Source organism: Homo sapiens, chromosome 8, assembly GCF_000001405.40.
Source record: "Homo sapiens chromosome 8, GRCh38.p14 Primary Assembly".
NCBI lineage: Eukaryota > Metazoa > Chordata > Mammalia > Primates > Hominidae > Homo > Homo sapiens.
The window spans coordinates 58086692-58109039 of NC_000008.11; the positions used below are offsets into that span (position 1 = coordinate 58086692).

General features: G+C 40.2%; 1 protein-coding gene across 6 annotated transcripts in view, besides 2 other annotated features; it reads left to right on the forward strand.

Moving 5' to 3' along the window:
- Positions 1–22348, forward strand: part of FAM110B (family with sequence similarity 110 member B) — a 154262-nt gene that overhangs the window by 92169 nt on the left and 39745 nt on the right. The window lies entirely within an intron of this gene.
- Positions 11145–11808: an enhancer, noted in NCBI's record as "H3K27ac-H3K4me1 hESC enhancer chr8:59010395-59011058 (GRCh37/hg19 assembly coordinates)". NCBI's record gives its function as "activates a minimal SCP1, AML or CMV promoter by ChIP-STARR-seq in primed H9 embryonic stem cells {active_cell/tissue: H9 hESC(primed)}" and the evidence as "EXISTENCE:reporter gene assay evidence [ECO:0000049][PMID:30033119]".
- Positions 11809–12472: an enhancer, noted in NCBI's record as "H3K27ac-H3K4me1 hESC enhancer chr8:59011059-59011722 (GRCh37/hg19 assembly coordinates)". NCBI's record gives its function as "activates a minimal SCP1, AML or CMV promoter by ChIP-STARR-seq in primed H9 embryonic stem cells {active_cell/tissue: H9 hESC(primed)}" and the evidence as "EXISTENCE:reporter gene assay evidence [ECO:0000049][PMID:30033119]".

The following is a 22348-nucleotide window of genomic DNA, read 5'->3' on the forward strand; positions in this document are numbered from 1 at the left end:
AAATACTCTACAAACTGCCACCTTTGCAAAGTTCCCAGTCCCCTCACTTGTCAGTGATGGATGGTGATGCTTTAAGGGTCCATTTCAATAGAGGTATATTTCCCCCAGTAAAGACAAAGGAATGTTAATGGGCTAATAGCTCCGTACTGTCATGACTGACTTATGTGATATTGCACAAGGTGAGGACAGTGGAGCTGGTATTTTGTTTGGCATTCACCAGGCACTTCAGCCCTTTAGTGCATCATCTCCCTTCATTCTCACAACAGATAGTTGATGGGACACATAGCACGTGATCATGGGGCTAGATCTGAGCTCACACCATACACCGTCTGGTTGCAGATCTGTGCCTCTAAACAGTCTTGCCAAGTGTCCAGTGTGCTTTAGGTGCCAGGTGCTTCACAGACTTCGGAGGTAAATATTTTCCTACTATTTAGAAGTCATGTTTTTTCAGCACATTAGATTTTCTGAAGGTTTCTCTGAACAAAAGAACTTGCTGCAGATGCCAACCAAGATTCCTCCTCAGGGGTGTTTACCATGTAGTAGTGCCAAAGAAACCAGCGCTGTGCGTCACCTTCTACCTTATCTAGAGCCCTGGAGAGGTCACCTATCTGTCTGTGACTTAGATCGGTGGGCTTCGCTTCCAGTTCTCTGATTTAAGGCTTCTGTTAGAGCAGCAGCTGTAGCAATTTGCTTTTTGAATAGGCATATACATTTCACAAGCACTTTCACTTCAGCGGCCTGGAGGGGTGGAGTAAACTGTTATATCAGCTTCATAGATGAGGCAACAGAGCATCAGAGAAAAGGGACCTCTCAAAGCTACATGGGTCATAACTGGAAAAGCCAGGATACAAGCTCCTCTGCCTCATTCGCCATCACAACTCCAAAACTTGACCTCTCTCTCTGGGGCCATCTCCTCATTGGCTCATCGGCAGAATGAATGAATTGAACTCCAGCAGTGATTTTCAAACCCTGTTCCCTGGAGTATTAGTGGTTTCAAGGCTGATGGGGATTGAGATTTGGGTCTCTCCTTTAGCCAAAACCACTCTGCATTCATCTATTTTGCATACCAATGTTCCACATTGTCTTTAAAGAAAGCTTCTGTAGTAAGAAAATACTTTGAAGATTACTGATCCTCAAAGTTTTTATTACATTCTAAACTTTAACCTTTAGGGGCCAGTGCCCAGTTTAAAAATCAATTGAACTAATATAAACATGAGTAAATTATCAATGGGAAAGTAAATTGGTCTTACAAAACTAATTTGTAACTTTCAAAAATGTTATCTGTTGGGTGAATCCAAGAGGCTTCCCCAGAAGTAAAACTCTCTAGGACCTCAACTCAATACCTGATACCTGGTTCCCACTTGACTGGCTTATAAGAGGGGCCCAGTAAATGTTGCTAAAATGTAATTAAAAGAAAAAAATTTATTTTGATAGTAGTTTTAAGTAACACACAGACTATCAAAATGTATTTATTTTACACCTGTTGTAGTATGCTAGGATTATAAATATTCTACAATTAATTTTAAAGGACAATCACAATTTTAGTTTCTCCATTGAACTTTATTTTGCTTCATTCATATATATATTCAGTGAGTCTTCCCTCTTACCCAAGTCTCTCCATAAATGTCTTCATTATTTTACTGACTTGATGAATTCCCAGTTCCAAATGACGCTTCAAGTCATATATCTAGTTTAAAACTCCTGCAGTAAAATAACATTTCTAGACAGAATTCTGAATTCAACGAAATGTGTTTCTTTCTCTATAATACATTGTCTGTGTTATCTTCATTCTTGGAAGAGATTTGAGTAGAAGGATTGTATATGCTTCTTTTTATGGGATGCTATGAATATGAATACTTATTTAACAAACCAAATTATATTTCTCTCATTCCCCAAACTTTAGAAAGTTCTATGATTTCAGTTGATGGCACACACTAGAATTTGTGTAGAAGTTACAAGGAAATGGAGCCGCACTTGAGAGTTGCACCTTCATCTTGGGTTCAGCAGTGTCCTTAGAGTGAAAAGAGGGTGGAGGAGTTCTAACTGCATTCCAAGACCAAGTGATATTCTGTCCAAAAACTATCAAGGACAGACTTCTCTGCTTTTAATACTAGCTTTTTGATCAGAGGGCTCATGGGGTGCAACATGTACACCAACTTGCTGCCTTGTAAACTTGATCCTTTGTAAATCTGTGACATTTTTCCTTGTTACAAGAGTTTTATATTCTCATGTATATAAATACTGCCTTTGACAGGATAAGAGACTAGTGCCATGAATATTCCTTTAGCAGTGGTAAAAACTCTGCAATAAAGCTTTGACGTTTTAAGATGACAATCAAATGGTCCAACAAAGGGCAGGAGAGGCTAAAGTAAAAACCTTCACAGATGAATGGTTTTATTTCACATCAACTCTATGGTCTTAATGCTGCCTATCGGAGGCACATTTTTGCATCAGCCACATGAATTGGTGAACTTTAGTGTATATGGATCATAAAGTATTTCTTCACTTGAAGGTCATCTGTGGCTAAGCTGTAATTTCTGCAGTTCTGTGAAAATTAGCACTCTCTATCAACCTTGTCATTTGAATTGGGGATCTTTATGTAGATGTTTGATGCTTCTATTTCACTGCTGCTTTCCCTCTGCTATAGTGCTTAAAACAAATGGTGTCAGATTCACTCTAATCTAGTTTTGTGGTTTAATTTACTTGTGGGTGCCTTGGTTTTGTGGGTTTTGCTTTCCACAAAAAGATGTAATAGAATCTGATCTCACAGGCATTACCTTCTACACCCAAGGGCTTTTTCCCTCCCTTGTCACTTCTTCCCTATTAGCAGACATCATTTTACTTCAGGATTATTTGATTTGGTGTGATAAATGGATTAAGATCAAAATTAGCATCAAAATAATTATGGCAATTTGAAAAGACATCCATTGGGGGAACACTGTAAACACTCCAACTTCATAATGATAGGATACAGACATTTTGAGAAAAAGCTATTGTACAGAGGCACTGATGACAGGTTTTACTTCTGAGTTAGTTATTGTAAAAGCTCACATAGCTCTTATTTATTTTTGATCAGGAGATCATGTTTTAGAAGAAAGCATTTCATGGAAGTAAAATGGCATCAAAACTATTGCTTACTTTGAAAACATATTTTTGCCATTTGGCATTTTCTAGAAAATTGTATCCTTTATACACATGCAGTATGATTTCTGTCCTTCTCATACATTAGCAGGATTCAGTAGCAGACTTTCTATTAAATACAGTTGGCCCTTGAATAACACAGGTTTGAACTGCTCAGGTCCACTTATATTTTCTTCTGCCTCTGCCACCCCTCAGACAACAAGACCAACCTCTCTTCCTCTTCCTCCTCCTCCTCTTCCTCAGCCTACTCAGAGTAAGATGATGAGAATGAAGACCTTTATGATGATCCACTTCCACTTAATGAATAGTAAATATATTTTCTCTTTTTTGGGGGGCAGGGGGGCGGAGACAAAGTCTCGCTGTGTTACCCAGGCTGGAGTGTGGTGGCGTGATCTCAGCTCACTGCAACCTCCGCCTCCCAGATTCAAGCAGTTCTCCTTCCCGAGCCTCCCAAGTAGCTGAGACTACAGGCGCATGCCGCCACACCTGGCTAACTTTTTGTGTTTCTAGTAGTGACAGAGTTTCACCGTGTTGCCCAGGCTGGTCTCAAACTCCTAAGCTCAGGCAGTTTGCCTGCCTCAGCCTCCCAAAGTGCTGGGATTACAGGCATGAGCCACCGCACCAGCCTGGGATTTTCTTAATAACATTTTCTTGTCTCTAACTTACTTTATTGTAAGAGTAGAGTGTATCATACATCTAACACACAAAATTTGTGTTGTTATCAGCAAGGCTTCCAGTCAACAGGAGGCTATTTGTTAAAGTTTTAGGGCAGTCAAAAGTTCTACTCAGATTTTCAACTGCATGGGGTGGAGGGTCAGGGTCTTTAACCCCTGGCATTATTCAAGGGTCCACTCTAGTTTACTCAAAATAAAGGCTAAAGTATCTGTATACCCTTCAGATAATTCCTTTAAGCATCTCAGTGGTTTCATCTCAGTATTTATAAAGATTGACTTGAGATTTTCCCCACAAGGCCTTTGAGCTCAGATTCTATTGTGTGTTTTTTGTGGAAAGCAAAAACCATAAACTTAAGGCACCCACAAGTAAATTATAATTTTTAATATGAGCAATACTAGTAACATTAACAGTAGTAAATATAGCAGTTAACAGATATGAGATGCTTGCTATGCACTTCACACCCTTTTAAGCATTTACTTGGATTTCTCACTGAATCCTTACAGCCCCTTGGTCTAGATGAGGCAGTGCAAGGCAGGTATAGCCATGCCTTTGCTCTCCTAACCAAGGGCCCTTCTACTAAAGCATGCTCTTTAGTTATCCAAACAGTCTCTGTAGTGGGCCAAATGTTAATGCCTCTCGAAAAGGTGAACATGGTAAGACAAGATGAGGGCATTTTCATACTCCTCTCTTCAGCTGGGAGTATGTTTTAAGCAAAGCAGAATGAAAACATTTCCCTTAAAGAAATAGGCTCAGTGAAGACTCCCTCATTCCAGGATGTGAGAGTGCCTAGCGTCAGGTTACCTAGCTTCCATGTCTTTGTTTCCAGCTCCTCGGGGTAGCCTCTCCCTTACCCAAGCACAGGCAGATTCTGGTCATCACCAGGACATTTATCACAGCTCAGGTGTCCTGCTTATGCTCGCCAAGGCCCTGCTGGACGGCAGGCACTCCTTGCAGCACAACCCCATGAAGGGTTTTGGCTCAGCCCTCCTGTCTCTCAGGATTCCACCTCAGAATTTTATAATCACGTCGGCTGTAGCTCACAGCATAATGAGATCTGTGGATGACCTTATCACCACCAGGCTTCCATCAGAGCCCATGCCTGATGGTCACTGGCAGACTGAAGAAGAGAAAAAAAAATAAGCATAGGTAATTTTTACATATTCATGACAGATGCCCCCCATTCAGCATTCTTATAAAAATACGATCCTACTGAAACTCATTTTTAATGGTGACCCTGAAAATCCAAAATGGGGATCTTGCTTCTCCCCTCCATGTGGTCTCTGGGTTACAAGGAACATGTGAAATGATCCCTGCATGGCAGAGCAGCCTGTTACCATGGAGACAGCTTACTACTTTCCCAGCCCTCTGGCTAGTTCCAGGAACGTTAACTCCATACCAGTTTTAAAGAAATGAAAAGAAGTCTAAGGTTAATATCTAGCTTTTTAAAAGTTATAATTATTGAAAAAAGCACTCAAGTTACAAACAGACTCTTCTCATCTGGAAAGGATTACATTTAATATTATTAATAATAGTACTTCATGTAAGCAGAGTAACCACTGCTAAAAGACTCACATTCTGTTGCTGTTAATTGAGCCTTCCTTTTTCATATTTTACTTTCAGGCTTGGTATTACACTCATCTGGAGGAAAATAATTTTATTTATTCATATTTTGCTGTTTATGTATTATTTTTGTCTTTTAAATCTCAACATCCTCATGGAGACATGCTATATTTTTCTTATTTATTTTTTTAATTTTACTCTAAGTTCTGGGATACATGTGCAGAATGTGCGGGTTTGTTACATAGGTACACATGTGCCATGGTGGTTTGCTGCACCCATCAACCCGTCATCTACATTAGGTATTTCTCCTAATGCTATTCCTTCCCTAACCCCCTACCCCCCGACAGGCCATGGTGTGTGATGTTCCCCTCCCTGTGTCCATGTGTTCTCATTGTTCAGCTCCCACTTCTAAGCGAGAACATGCGGTGTTTGGTTTTCTGTTTTTGTGTTAGTTCACTGAGATTGATAGTTTCTAGCTTCGTCCATGTCCCTGCAAAGGACATGAACTCATCCTTTTTTATGACTACATAGTATTCAATGGTGTACATATGTCACATTTTCTTTATCCAGTCTATCATTGATGGGTATTTGGGTTGGTTCCAAGTCTTTGCTATTGTGAACGTGGTTGCAACACACATAATATGTGCATGTGTCTTTATAGTAGAATGATTTATAATCTTTTGGGTATACACCCAGTAATGGGATTGCCGGGTCAGATGGTATTTCTGGTTCTAGATCCTTAAGGAATCGCCACACTGTCTTCCACAATGGTTGAACTAATTTACACTCCCACCAACAGTGTAAAAGCATTCCTATTTCTCCACATCCTCTCTAGTATCTATTGTTTCCTGATTTTTAAATGATCGCCATTCTAACTGGCATGGGATGGTATCTCATCGTGGTTTTGTTTTGCATTTCTCTAATGATGAGGGATGATGAACTTTCCTTCATATGTTTTTTGGCTGCATAAATGTCTTCTTTTGAAAATTGTCTGTTCATATCCTTTGCCCACTTTTTGATGGGGTCGTTTGTGGGTTTTTTTTGTAAATTTGTTTAAGTTCCTTGTCGATTCTGGATATTAGCCCTTCGTCAGATGGATAGATTGCAAAAGTTTTCTCCCATTCTGTAGGTTGCCTGTTTACTCTGATGATAGTTTCTTTTGCTATGCAGAAGCTCTTTAGTTTAATTAGATCCCATTCGTCAATTTTGGCTTTCATTGCTGTTGCTTTTGGTGTTTTAGTCATGAAGTCCTTGCCCATGCCTATGTCCTAAATGGTGTTGCCTAGGTTTTCTTCTAGGGTTTTTATGGTGTTAGGTCTTACATTTAAGTCTTTAATCCATCTTGAGTTAATTTTTTATAAGGTGTAAGGAAGGGGTCCAGTTTCAGTTTTCTGCATATGGCTAGCCAGTTTTCCCAACACCATTTATTAAATGGGGAATATTTCTCCATTGCTTATTTTTGTCAGGCTTGCCAAAAATCAGATGGCTGTAGATGTGTGGTGTTATTTCTGAGGCCTGTGTTCTGTTCCATTGGTCTATACATCTGTTTTGATGCCAGTACCATGCTGTTTTGGTTACTGTAGCCTTGTAGTATAGTTTGAAGTCAGCTAGCATGATGCCTCCAGCTTTGTTCTTTTTGTTTAGAATTGTCTTGGCTATGCGGGCTCTTTTTTGGTTCCGTATGAAATTTACAGTAGTTTTTTCTAATTCTGTGAAGAAAATCAATGGTAGCTTGATGGGGATAGCATTGAATCTATAAGTTACTTTGGGCTGTATGGCCATTTTCACGATATTGATTCTTCCTATCCACTAGCATGGAATGTTTTTCCATTTGTTTGTGCCCTCTCTTATTTCCTTGAGCAATGGTTCGTAGTTCTCCTTGAAGAGGTCCTTCACAGCCCTTGTAAGTTGTATTCCTAGGTATTTTATTCTCTTTATAGCGATTGTGAATGGGAGTTCTCTCATGATTTGGCTCTCTGTTTGTCTATTATTGGTGTATAGGAATGCTTATGATTTTTACACATTGATTTTGTATTCTGAGACTTTGCTGAAGTGGCTTATCATCTTAAGGAGATTTTGGGCTGAGACGATGGTGTTTTCTAAATATACAATCATGTCATCTGCAAACAGAGACAATTTGACTTCCTCTCTTCCTATTTCAATACCCTTTATTTCTTTCTCTTGCCTGATTGCCCTGGCCAGAACTTCCAACACTATGTCGAATAAGAGTGGTGAGAGAGGGCATCCTTGTCTTGTGCAGGTTTTCAAAGGGAATGCTTCCAGTTTTTGCCCATTCAGTATGATATTGATTGTGGGTTTGTCATAAATAGCTCTTATTATTTTGAGATACGTTCCACCAATACCTACTTTATTGAGAGTTTTTAGCATGAAGGGGTATTGAATTTTGTCAAAGGCCTTTTCTGCATCTATCGAGATAATCATGTGGTTTTTGTCATTGGTTCTATTTAGGTGATGGATTATGTTTGTTGATTTGCATATGTTGAACCGGCCTTGCATCACAGGGATGAAGCCTACCTGATCGTGATGGATAAGCTTTTTGATGTGCTGCCAGATTCGGTTTGCCAGTATTTTATTGAAGCTTTTCACATCGATGTTCGTCAGGGATATTGGCCTGAAATTTTCTTTTTTGGTTGTGTCTCCGCCAGGTTTTGGTATGAGGATGATGCTGTCCTCATAAAATGAGTTAGGGAGGATTCCCTCTTTTTCTTTTGTTTGGAATAGTTTCACAAGGAATGGTACCAGTTCCTCTTTGTAGCTCTGGTAGAATTCGCTATGAATTCATCTTGTCTTGGATTTTTTTTGGTTGGTAGGCTATTAATTACTGCCTCAGTTTCAGAACTTGTTAATGTTTCTATTCAGGGATTCGATTTCTTCATGGTATAGACTTGGGAGAGTGTATGTGTCCAGAAATTTATCCATTTCTTTTAGATTTTCTTGTTTATTTGCGTAGAGGTGTTTATAGTATTCTCTGATGGTAGTTTGTATTTTTGTGGGATCGGTGGTGATATCCCCTTTATCATTTTTTATTGCATCTATTTGATTCTTCTCTCCTTTATTAGTCTGGCTAGTGGTCTATCTATTTTGTTGATCTTTCTAAAAACCAGCTCCTGGATTTACTGATTTTTTTGGAAGGGTTTTTCGTGCCTCTGTCTCCTTCAGTTCTGTCTGATCTTATTTTTTGTCTTCTGCTAGCTTTCAAATTAGTTCGCTCTTGCTTCTCTAGTTCTTTTAATTGTGATGTTAGGGTGTCGATTTTAGATCTTTCCTGCTTTCTCTTGTGGGCATTTAGTGCTATAAATTTCCCTCTAAACACTGCTTTAGCTGTGTCCCAGATATTCTGGCACATTGTGTCTTTTTTCTCATTGGTTTCAAAGAACATCTTTATTTCTGCCTTGACTTCGTTATTTTTCTAGTAGTCATTCAGGAGCAGGTTGTTTGGTTTCCATGTAGTTGTGTGGTTTTGAGTGAGTTTCTTAATCCTAAGTTCTAATTTGATTTCACTGTGGTTTGAGAGACTGTTTGATATGATTTCCATTCTTTTGCATTTGCTGAGGAGTGTTTTACTTCCAATTATGTGGTCAGTTTTACAGTAAGTGTGAAGTGGTGCTGAGAAGGGTGTATATTCTGTTGATTTGGGGTGGAGAGTTCTGTAGCTGTCTATTAGGTCTGCTTGGTCCAGAGCTGAGTTCAAGTCCTGAATATCCTTGTTGATTTTCTGTCTCGTTGATCTGTCTCATATTGACAGTGGGATGTTAAAGTCTCCCACTATTATTGTGTGGGAGTCTAAGTCTCTTTGTAGGTCTCTAAGGACTTGCTTTATGAATCTGGATGCTCCTGTATTGTGTGCATATATATTTAGGATAGTTAGCTCTTCTTGTTGCATTGATCCCTTTACCATTATGTAGTGGCCTTCTTTGTCTCTTTTGATCTTTGTTGACTTAAACTCTGTTTTATCAGAGACTAGGATTGCAACCCCTGCTTTTATTTGCTTTCCATTTGCTTGGTAAATATTTCTCCCATCCCTTTATTTTGAGCCTATGTGTGTCCTTGAACATGACATGGGTCTCCTGAGTACAGCATACCAATGGTCTTGACTCTTTTTTTTGAGACAGAGTTTTGCTCTTTCACCCAGGCTGGAGTGCAGTGGCGCAATGTCTTCTCATTGCAACCTCCACCTTCCGGTTTCAAGCAATTCTCCTGCCTCAGTCTCCCGAGTAGCTGGGATTACAGGCACCTGCCACCACACCCGGCTAATTTTTGTATTTTTAGTAGTTACAGGGTTTCACCATGTGTTGGCCAGGCTGGTCTTGAACTCCTGACCTCGTGATCCACCTGCCTCTGCCTCCCAAAGTGTTGGGATTATAGGTGTGAGCCACCGCGACCAGCCGGGTCTTGACTCTTTATCCAATTTGCCAGTCTGTGTCTTTTAATTGGGGCATTTAGCCCGTTTACATTTAAGGTTAATATTGTTATGCGTGAATTTGATCCTGTCATTATGATGCTAGCTGGTTATTTTGCCTGTTAGTTTATGCAGTTTCTTCCTAGTGTTGATGGTCCTTACAATTTGGTATGTTTTTGCAGTTGCTGGTACTGGTTGTTCCTTTCCATGTTTAGTGCTTCCTTCAGGAGCTCTTGTAAGGCAAGCCTGGTGGTGACAGAATCTCTCAGCATTTGCTTGTCTGTAAAGGATTTTATTTCTCCTTTGCTTATGATGTTTAGTTTGGTTGGATATGAAATTCTGGGTTGAAAAATCTTCTCTCTTAGAATGTTGAATATTGGCCCCCAGTCTCTTCTGGCTTGTAGGGTTTCTGCAGAGAGATCTGCTGTTAGTCTGATGGGCTTCCCTTTGTGGGTAACCCGACCTTTCTCTCTGGCTGCCCTTATCATTTTTTCCTTCATTTCAACCTTGGTGAATCTGACGATTATGTGTCTTGAGGTCGCTCTTCTCGAGGAGTATCTTCGTGGTGTTCACTGTATTTCCTGAATTTGAATGTTGGCCTGCCTTGCTGGGTTGGGGAAGTTTTCCTGCATAATACCCCTAAGAGTGTTTTCCAACTTGGTTCCATTTTCCCCATCACTTTCAGGTACACCAATCAGACATAGACTTGGTCTTTTCACATAGTCCCATATTTGTTGGAGGCTTTGTTCGTTCCTTTTCATTCTTTTTTCTCTAATCTTGTCTTCACACTTTATTTCATTAAGTTAAACATCAGTCTCTGATATCCTTTATTCTGTTTGATTGATTTGGCTATTGATACTTGTGTATGCTTCACAAAGTTGTCGTGCTGTGTTTTTCAGCTCCATCAGGTCATTTATATTCTTCTCTAAACTGGTTATTTTAGTTATCAATTCAGCTAACCTTTTTTCAAGGTTCTTAGCTTCCTTGCATTGGGTTAGAACATGCTCCTTTAGCTTGGAGGAGTTTGTTATTACCCACCTTCTGAAGACTACTTCTGTCAGTTCATCAAACTCATCCTCCGTCCAGTTTTGTTTCCTTGCTGGCTAGGAGTTGTGATCCTTTGGAGGAGAAGAGGCGTTCTGGTTTTTGGAATTTTCAGCCTTTTTCAGCTGGTTTCTCTCCGTCTTCATGGATTTATCTACCTTTGGTCTTTGATGTTGGTGACCTTTGGATGGGGTTTTGGTATGGATGTCCTTTTTGTTGATGTTGACACTGTTCTTTTCTGTTTGTTAGTTTTCCCTTTTCTGTTTGTTAGTTTTCCTTCTAACAGTCAGGCCCCTCTGCTACAGGTCTGCTGGAGGTCCACTCCAGACCCTGTTTGCATGGGTATCACCAGCAGAGGCTGCAGAACAGCAAAGATTGCTGCCTGTTCCTTTCTCTGGAAGCTTTGTCCCAGAGGGGCACCCGCCAGATGCCAGCTGGAGCTCTCCTGTGTGAGGTCCTGACTGTCCCCCAGTCAGGAGGCACGGGGGTCAGGGACCCACTTGAGGGGGCAGTCTGTCCCTTAGCAGAGCTCAAGCTCTGTGCGGGGAGATCCACTGCTCTATTCAGAGCCAGCAGGCAGGAATGTTTAAGTCTGCTGAAGCTGCACCCACAGCCACCCCTTCCCCCAGGTGTTCTGTCCCAGGGAGATGGGAGTTTTATCTGTAAGCCCCTGACTGGGGCTGCTGCCTTTCTTTCAGAGATGCCCTGCCCAGAGAGGAGGAATCTAGAGATGCAGTCTGGCTACAGCGGCTTTCTCTGGCTGCAGTGGGCTCCACCCAGTTCGAACTTCCTGGCAGCTTTGTTTATGCTGTGAGGGGAAAACTGCTTATTCACGCTTCAGTAATGACAGATGCCCCTCTCCCAACCAAGCTCGAGTGTCCCGGGTGGACTTCAGACTGCTGTGCTGGCTGCAAGAATTTCAAGCCAGTGGATCTTAGCTTGCTGGGTTCCTTGGGGGTGGGATCCATTGAGGTAGACCACTTGGCTCCCTGGCTTCAGCCCCGTTTCCAGGGGAGTGAACGGTTCTGTCTTGCTGGCATTCCAGGCACCACTGGGGTATGAAAAGAAACCCCTGAAGCTAGCTCGATGTCTGCCCAAACGGCTGCCCAGTTTTGTGCAGGAAACCAGGGCCCTGGTGGCATAGGCACCAGAAGGAATCTCCTGTTCTGAGGGTTGTGAAGACTGTGGGAAAAGTGTAGTATCTCGGCTGGAATGCATAGCCCCTCACAGCTTCCCTTGGCTAGGGGAGGGAGTTCCCTGGCTCCTTGTACTTCCCGGATGAGGCGACGCCCAACCCTGCTTCTGCTCGCCCTCCGTGGTCTGCACCCACTGTCTAACCAGTCCTAATGAGATGAGCTAGGTACCTCAGTTGGAGATGCAGAAATCACCCACCTTCTGCATTGATCTTGCTGGGAGCTGCAGACCAGAGCTGTTCCTATTCAGCCATCTTGCCAGCCCTTTGACTTGCTATATTTTTCATGCCGACTGTCCCTGTGCAGACAGGATACATTCTTGTTCACTCTTCCCTGTTGATAGGAGGTTTTGTAGGTTTTGTGTGCAGTGTTTCTATTCCTGCTGATTTCTTAGTTGAAAACTGGTGTAATACCTCAAGGGATGTAGACAAATACTCAAGGTTATTTTATAATAAACTGTGATGTACTAAAATATTTAAATGTAGTTTTAAGAAAAATGAATGCAGGTTGAGCATCCCCAATCTGAAAATCCAAAATCCTAAATGCTTCAAAATCTGAAACTTGATGAGCACCCAAATGCCGCTCAAAGGCAATGCTCATTATAAGTATAATGAAACTATTCCAAAATTTAAAAAAAAAAATCAAAATCCAAAACACTTCTGGTCCCACACATTTCAGATAAGTGATACTCAACCTGCATTTAATTATTTAAACTGTATTAAACTGTATTTATTATAGTTTAAAAATTAAACACGTTTAACTTCAGCATATAAGTAATTTCAGTATATAAATAAATTTTTGAAACTGAGAAAAGTAAGCTTATCTATTCAGTCTGTTGGGGTCTTGCTTAATACATACCTCAGTTCTGATCTCTCCTGTCCCATCTGGGCAGATTTAGTACTCTCATATAGCACATTAATTTGCAGATACTTATTGTTATTTCATACCAATGTTAAGATTTTTAAATAGATATACGGATATGAATACTGTATGTATATCAAACTGTGTTGTCATTCCTTTTAGAGTAGATCTCACCTATGTCTTTTTTAGGTATTTTATTACAGTATTTCTTAATGTGCATTTTCTACTATGTGGCCTATTGTATTCTACCTAAAGGGCTTGATGAAAGCTCTGTGTTTTATGTGCTTGATTTCATTTTAAAGATTTTTATTGATTTCAGTCACTCTCTTCAGTCTCTCCTTACCAACTGCGGGCTCAGCATCCAGAAACACCATGTGTTTGTTCTAGGGTTCCCATATATCCTGTCAATTTGCCCACTCTTTCTGCCTCCTCCCAAGCCATTTCTCAGTACTGTCTGGCCAGACCTCTCCTCGTCTAATCACTCTGCCTGTCCCTTTCTTTTCTCTTGTAACTTAGATTGTAGGGAAATCTTTTGGAAATCAGAGACTGTAAACTCTGGTCTCCTGGTTCTGTGTAATATACAGTGTAAGTATTAATATATTTCACAAACTACTAACACTGAAATGGCACTTCCCTGGAGTTAATCTGGTGCTTCCTTTAGATTTTGAAAAAAAAAAAAAAGTCATGGACTCAGTTTGGGGTACTGGAGTTATTCCCATCAGATACATTCTGAAGCTGGGTGGGCTCCTTCAAAGAGAGCAAGGGTGGTGTATTTTGGTTTTGTTCTCAATTGACTATGTTTCCTATTGTATAAGTTTTCTAGGCTGCTCTAGCAAAATGCCACAGACTGGGTGGTTGAGACAACAGAAATGTTTTGTCTCACAGCGCTGGAGACTGGAAATATGAGATAAAGGTATCAGCAGGGCTGGTTCCTTCTGGGGGCTCTGAGGGAGAATCTGTTCCATGCCTCTCCCAGCTTCTGCTGGTTTGCTGGCCATCTTCGGTGTTCCTTGGCTTATAAGAGTGTCATCTCCATCTCTGCCTTCATCTTCACATAGTGTTATCCCTGTGTCTGTGTCCAAATTGCCCCTTTTTATAAGGACACCAGTCTTATTGGATGAGGGGCCCAGCCTACTCCAGAATGACCTCCTGTTAACTCATTAAATCTGTAAAGACCCTATTTGCAAATGGAGAATGTTATAGTACAATGCATTCTGAGGTATTGGAGGTTAGAACTTACACTAATGAATTTTGGAAGACCCAATTCAACCCATAACACATACCATTGCAATAAAACTGGTTTTCTGGCCGGGCGCGGTGGCTCACGCCTGTAATCCCAGCACTTTGGGAGGCCGCAGCAGGTGGATCACGAGGTCAGGAGATCGAGACCATCCTGGCTAACACAGTGAAATCCCATCTCTACTAAAAATAGAAAAAAAAAATTAGCTGGGCATGGTGGTGGGCACCTGTAATCTCAGCTACTAGGGAGGCTGAGGCAGGAGAATGGCGTAAACCTGGGAGACAGAGCTTGCAGTGAGCCAAGATCGTGCTACTGTGCTCCAGCCTGGGTGACAGAGTGAGACTCCGTCTCAAAAAAAAAAAAAACCTGTTTACTATTCCAAGTCTATTTACTGATTTTACAATAAGCAGTGATTTTGTAAATCTGTAATTTTGATCTTGTGTTTGGATCAAAATATAGTACAAATCAAACACAATTGGTGTGAGTGCATTTAATAAATGAAGTCTTGACCATTTGTGTGTTGCCAAGCTCCAAAAAGCAGTCTGATCATTCATGTACTTGCAGGGTCCATTTATTTCTAATCATCCTAGCTTAACTTCATTTAAAGAATAAATTAATCGTTTTTAAACTTATGCCAGCAGTTGTTAATTCCCAGATGGCAGGTGAACTCTCTAAACATTTTTTTAAAACTTTTCATCAAATAGTAATTCCATTTTAACCCAAAAATAGCTTTTTGTTTTCTTTCTTAAAACATGACCATGATGCATCGTCAATCAAAATAAACTGAAGTATTTATTAATTACAGCTGTATTGATTTCTACTCTAAACTGACTTCCTCCGAAATCTAGTATGTTTCATGTTTCAAGAATTAATTTCTTGATGGTACTCTGCTGCACTGTAATTTAGTCATGGTGGATTGAGTCACCAGATATTAAGACAGTCATGATTGCAAATGACAGATGGCATCCAGTGGCTCACCATTGTTTGTACCTCTTGGTACCCATTTCTCTGAAGCTACAAGTACAGCCATGAGGCAGTGATAACTGTCTTAGTTGGAGTCTCAGAGCTCATGCTTCATTTATTCCCAAGGCAAGGCACTAAAAAGCCATAGTTGGAGCTGGAGCACTTGCCAACTTGTATTTCTGCCATTTAGAAGGTGCTCAGTCCCTACATCTAAAATTTGAAGGGAAAGGAAATCTTCCATATGAATGCCACTTTTCGTTATTTTCCAGACCATCACATCTTACTTTTCCTTTCATTCAACAATGATAACTTATTCGCCAACACTTTTCAAGAATGTGTTTACATGAAAGCAGAGCAAGCATGTTAAGAGACCCAGACTGCAAATAACTTTGGAACGGCTTCAGTGTAATTCAAAGTGAGTCATCCTGCCTCAGTTACAGAATGAGCAGCTCTGATTGACAGAACTTGGAAAAGCTAACACAGAGCGGCAAAGGGTATTCCCCAAACCTTAATTTATTTCTGTTTGAGAGCAAAAATATTGGGAAATTATCCATCTACAGCTTACCTTTTCTTACTGTGTAATTTGATTTTAATGCTGGAGGATTTACCGTTTACATAATTTGATCTTCAATGAAATTACTCCTTATGTCCGACTTTTGGTTCAGATTATATCTAAATTAAGAGATTAATAATTATTTTTAAAGGTAGTGAACTAGCGTAGATCAGATGGTATGATTCCTGACTACGAAAAGGAATTTATTTGGGCAAGGATTACTGGTATGTCTATTGCTTTTGTTGCGTAAATGAATTGATTTCCACCTACGCCATAACAGTGTATCTCACATGCAACGACTAAGCTGGAGTTGCAGGAGCTTTCTTGTCTGCCACTGCCCTCAGCCTCCATTCTCCCTTCCTGGTGCCCCAGTACAGCCTCTGTTCTCCTTTTTCATAGTTTCCAGTGGGAGCATCTCCACTTCCCTTCTTTTTGAGGGGCCTGGTCATCTTCACTTCCACACAGCCCACAAACTTCTCACTTGTATCTCTCCTGGTACAGTAGCCATGCCATAAAACAAGATGGATACTGATCAGTTACTCAGGCTAGAAACTTCAAAGCCATGAAACAGGTTCAAGAAGAGAGTACTACAATTAGACTTACGCTTTAGAAAAGTCAGTCTTTTACCTGAGCAGTATTATATAGTACAATGCTTGTTATGAAAAAAAAAAAAAAAAAAAAAAGGCCAATTGAATTAAACAGCTTTGCAAGGCAGAACAAACTCCTATTTTGTTTAAAATTTGCTGAACTTTGTAAGGGGGTACAGGAAGGTTTATGCATTTGGGTCAATGAATGCAATATGTACAGAAGGGCATGTATTTCTTTCTTTCTTTCTTTATTATTATTATACTTTAAGTTTTAGGGTACATGTGCACAGTGTGCAGGTTAGTTACATATGTATACATGTGCCATGCTGGTGTGCTGCACCCACTAACTCGTCATCTAGCATTAGGTATATCTCCCAGTGCTATCCCTCCCCCCTCCCTCCACCCCACAACAGTCCCCAGAGTGTGATGTTCCCCTTCCTGTGTCCATGTGTTCTCATTGTTCAATTCCCACCTATGAGTGAGAATATGCGGTGTTTGGTTTTTTGTTCTTGCGATAGTTTACTGAGAATGATGATTTCCAATTTCATCCATGCCCCTACAAAGGACATGAACTCATCATTTTTTATGTGTTTCTATAAGCAAACATTCATGTCCCTTCCCAGACATATCAGTCAACCTTGATAATAAATTGCAATCATTTTTACTACTTTAACCCCTTCCAGGAGGTGTAAGGTATAATAGTTAGTCCTAATAGTTTTACATTTCCGGCACATCCTGTTTTCTAACCTGGCATTCCATACAGCATATGTGAATATGAATAAGGATTCAAGTGAACTTCATGTCCCTCGGAATCTAATTTGGGCAACAACCATTTCTAGAAGGCCCCTTCTCCTCCTGCCTCCCACAGCCCCACACTGTTCATTTAATGACTTTTTTTGAAGTTCACGTAGTGCTGTCTGCTAATTGTGACACATTGTTGATTACACTCTAATCTAATTGTCTGGGTGCCTTGCCCAGCTAGAGCACAGTCCCATAGTAGCTGGAACTCTGTCATTCTTTCATTCACTTCTCATTGCCTTGAGAGCAGGGCTTACCTATTATGTATGTTATGTATTTGCCAAATGAGTGAATAAAAGACTAAGGAGATATTTTAACTCTTTATTCAGCACCTTATCTTTTGCTTCTCTGCATACCCATATTTCATGCTTTGATTTTTCTGCAACTCTAGTCTTTAAAGATTTACCTGTCAACTTAAGAAACACATTGATTGGATAAGATGTTTCCTGGCAGTGTAATATGGAATCATGTGGTTGAAAGGGACACTATAGTTCCACCTGTTCTTCTCCAAGAATTGCAACAAAGCATTTTCAACCTCATCTGCAGCCAATTTTAAGGAAATCTAATAAAGAGGTTTGCAGAGCACCTGAGAGCAGCTAAGATCCCAAGACAAAGTAGAAAATTACCTATTGAAACTACAAATAAAAATGAAATTTAAATATATCGTTTTATATATGGGCCATTTGCTTGCTCAATCTCTTTGTACCTGGGAGTGGAGGGAAAGGCTGGGAGTAAAATGGGACTGGATTAAAATATAGTGATTGTAGATTTTTATGACATATGAAATAAATTGTAAATATTAAAAAGTTGACCTGTAGTAACATGCTTGCAGCCATCTATGTTATTAAGACAGTACTTAACGAGTTTTGAAACAAGTACTCCTGGCAATATTACTACTATTCTTAACCTATATGTGATAGACATTTTCAAAAAGTCATCATATCTGATTGCCTTCTATGCTGTTCTTTAAATGTTTGAAATCGTGTTTTTATATATGAATACAACCAATCAGAATACAGGTACATTGCTTCAAGTACTATTTCAAAAAGTTTCTCCAATGACATGACTCAGCGATTTCTTAAAGGATAGAAAAACACTTTGTTAATGGAGAAAACCAGAAGTCCACCTTCTCTTGGAAATAAATGTTGAATTTTAACTGAGTAACTTTGCATCAGCCACATCGTATTACTGACATGTATTAGGTGGTAGATTTCTGTAGTAGCAGTTCTTTAAAGGAAAAAAAAAAAAAAAGGATTTCTTTTCCATTGCCTTCTTTTTTTTTTTTTTAACAAAATGAGATATTCCTCAGATGGGTAACCTTCAGCTTTGCAGCCTGAGGGCCATACCTAGGAAGTGGAACTAGGTGCCTTGGGTCAGCATTGTCCTGTGTTAGGGGGAGGTGGTAATTTCTAAGACTTTTGCCATTTTCCTGAAATTGCTTTGGGCTCCATGTTACCTAAGGTTTGAGAACAAGCTCTGAAGCTGGATACACGCAGGTTTCATCACAGCTCTACCACTCAATATCAGGGTGCACTTGGCAAACAAGTTAATTAACTCCTGGAAACCTCAGGCTCCTCAGGATTGTGTGGATTAAATGAGAAGATAGATATAAAGCACTTAGCATATTCTGCTGTTCTGTTGGCTCAATTTTTATTGCATTTAAAAGGATAGTTGAAGTCAGGCACAGTGGCTCACATCTGTAATCCCAGGTGGGGAAGATTGCTTGAGCCCTGGAGGTCAAGTTTGCATTGAGCCATGATCACACCACTACACTCTAGCCTGGGCAACAGGGTGAAACCTTGTCTGAAAATGAATGAATGAATGAATGAATTTTTTTTTTTTTTTTTTTTTTTTTTTTTTGTGACAGAGTCTGGCTCTGTCGCCCAGGCTGGAGTGCAGTGGTGCGATCTCGGCTCATTGCAAGCTCCGCCTCCCAGGTTCACGCCATTCTCCTGCTTCAGCCTCCCGAATAGCTGGGACTACAGGCACCCACCACCATGCGTGGCTAATTTTTTGTATTTTTTTAGTAGAGACAGGGTTTCACCATATTAGCCAGGATGCTCTCAATCTCCTGACCTTGTGATCCGCCCGCCTCAGCCTCCCAAAGTGCTGGGATTACAGGCATGAGCCACTGCACCCGGCCTGAATGAATTTTTTAAAAAGGATAGGTGATTTATTTTTCAGAACTTTTTAGTTTTCCTATATTCAGATGCCTTTTTCAACTTTGAATGTTTATGCAAAGCTTGGGAATCTGATTGTTGCCCCAATATAAATAAATACACTGTTGTAGTCCATTGAATTAGAACAAAAGTGTCTAGTGAATTTGAATTCCATCCAATCACTACTTTTCACTTTGCATGGTTTCAATCTGCATTAATTTCAATTCTCGTATTTTAGTTAAATAAAACCAGTTCCCCAACGTCACAGTTCAAATCTTAGTTACCATAGTATATTAACTGTAATTAAATAAAGTGCAAACCTCATAGTTAGGTCTTCATTCCCCAAATCACTCTGTAAATAGCAGGTGCTCATCATGATCAATGACCAATCATGCCCCTTCTTTCCATGTCTGCTGGTGATGGTTCTGTGCACATTTATTATTCAGTTTTCACACAGACAGGAAAGGTTGTCCTTGTGTTGCCTCCCCACCAAGAGTGATAACTCATGTGGAATTTTACAAAAATAGATTTAAAAGATGGAATTAGTCAACAAAGATGGAAACACAGCAGGGCAATGAAAAGTGGCAGTCAAATTAGAATCAAGCATGTGTAGAAGAAATAGCTGATGGTGGGGATGTTGACACTGCTCGTGATCTGGGAGGAGACTCTGGATAGGCCAACAGGAACCCAGGGAAGGCAGACTTATCAGCATAAATGAGGAATGGGGTTTTGACAGAAAGGACAAAGATATCCCATAGGAAGTGATATCATCAAAAAGCTTTACATTAAAGGAGTTCTCAGAAAGCACAAAGGATAAAATGTTGGAAGCTGACCCAAACTTACAAAGGGCAGTTAGCCAAACCATAAAAAAGATGCTCACGCCATACTGTATGCTGTGTGATGAGATGAAGTCACACACCATTCAGACTACTCCTGATACATTTTTAAAACTGAAAGACTGAAAGTCTAAAACCTCAGTGTGTTTATGTTGTCAGTTACTGTTTTATAGTGTTCATTTCCCTTCACATTTATAACTGACGATAAGCGAGTTTTAACGCTTTGACAAAAAGTTTTAAAAGGTCACAGAAGAGTCATAATTTTTGCCGTTGATTATTAAGTACTCATTGCATGGTTTTGGGTTATATGGTTATTTGTACAGCCATAACCTCACAAAGCAGGGACTGGCGGTGGTAAAAAAAAAAAGTAGTCAAACCACTACTGTTGCCGTCTGGATTTTATGTTACTGAAAAATTAGTTAACACATTCTCAATATTATCAATAGTTTCCTAGCCTGTTAAAGGCAATTTATGTAGTAATAGATGCCTTATTGATTACAGAACTTGACTTTCTAATATTTGCTACTTTTAATTTTCAAAAAGTCCTGAAATTAAATATTCAGACTCACATTTCTGTGGTACTTTTAGTGAAATATTTTTGCAACATTAAAGTTTTTTGTTGTTGTTGTTGTCCTTTTCATTTTAAAAGAAGGCCCACCGGGATTCTCCATCAGCAAACAGCCAACCCACTGCATTATACATAGCAAGTTTTAGTGACAGTTCTAGTCTCTTGGGCATGAGAAATACAGTCTTGTTTGCTCGTTTAAGTCAACAAGCTGTGGGATTTATTGTGTGTTTTGTAGTATGCATGCAGAATGTTTTGATTTTTAAAAGTCTAAAATAATTGAAACTGTCTTGTGTCATTCAACCCTGTAATAAGTACCTATAGTTTAAAACCTCAAAATTGGTTGGTTTTGAAAGATGTTTGTATAATGCATAATAATAAGCGCCTCTGGATTATTTTTAATGCATCAGATCCTGTGCTATGGTCTGTGTAAGAGAAAGGAACCCTGATTACAGTTTTGGAGAGTGTTCCTGGTGCCCCCAGCATGCCCATGGTGGATACCACATCATTATGCTGTGCTCTGAGGGGCCTCATTCTGACAGCATGCTTGGTTACATACCGTAATGAAAAGCCTTGTTTGGGGAACATTTGTGCTTTTAAATATTGGTTTCATCATGTCCAGGGAATGAAGCTGATTTAAACATAGCTCACAGTAAATCTGAGAGTGGAAAGTTTGATTTTACCCACTAGTCTTTCTAATTTTTTACTAATGTAACGTCCCAATCCATTGTGTAGCAGAGAAGCTAGTTGAATTTGTTCTTCCAGGGGAAGAGGGCCCTTCTTATACATGAGTTTATATGAAGTTTTTCATGTAATGTATTTTATCCTTCATGTTCATCAGCTTTACAGAGAAAAACTTAAAGAGTTCTTACTCCAAAACATTTTGTCTGAGCCTGGGGTGAAGATTACTATAAGGAATGATTGAGCAACAAGATGCCAGTGATGGTCAAGGAAAAAGTCAAAAATGTTGATTTTGAAGATCCTTTACTAATTCACAAATTCTGGTTGTTTTTATTTTCATCTATGAACAAGGGCAATTTCAAGAATAGGAAGAAGGAGGAACATAGAGCCTCAGCCAGCATTGACGTGGGTGACACCTTCAGAACGGTTGTAGGAGCACAAAGAGTCAGCCTGGTGTCACTTGCTGGCAGGCCTTCACTTCAGATCTGACCTGAAACAACACACAGAACCTCTCCTTTGGCTTAGATCCCATGTGAGGCTTCCTGGCATGTTCGGATAAATGGATGGCTTGGATCGAGGCTGCTCCTGACTTCAAGTTGTAGACCAGCCTCCTGGCCTGGTCTCCTCAGCTCTGGAGGCTGGCCTGGAAGCTCCAGATGATTCCAGGAGCACAGCCTGCTCCATGACCGTCCTCAGGCGCCAGCTCCTGCTCCTCCTGTCTCATCCGGGGGCGGTGAATTCCCCATATTCATGGGTTATGACTGGGCTCAGACTGTTCCTTCTGCTCAGAGGGCCTGTCCCGGTCTCCCACTTTTCCATGTTGTGAACCATGGTGAAAATGTTGAGAATTCCTTCCCATACTTCCCAGGAGCTTCATTCCTCCTTCATCTGGGTTCTGGAAGTAATTTATTCTCAACCATGGTTCCTCCTGTTTGTTGGGTGCCCTTTATGTACAAGGCATTTGACAAGCACAGTCTCAACCCACCCAACAACCCTATTCAACCCTATTTATTACAGACTCTAATCGGTGAGGAAACTCAACTACCTTGCTCTGGGCTTAGCCAGTAAATAG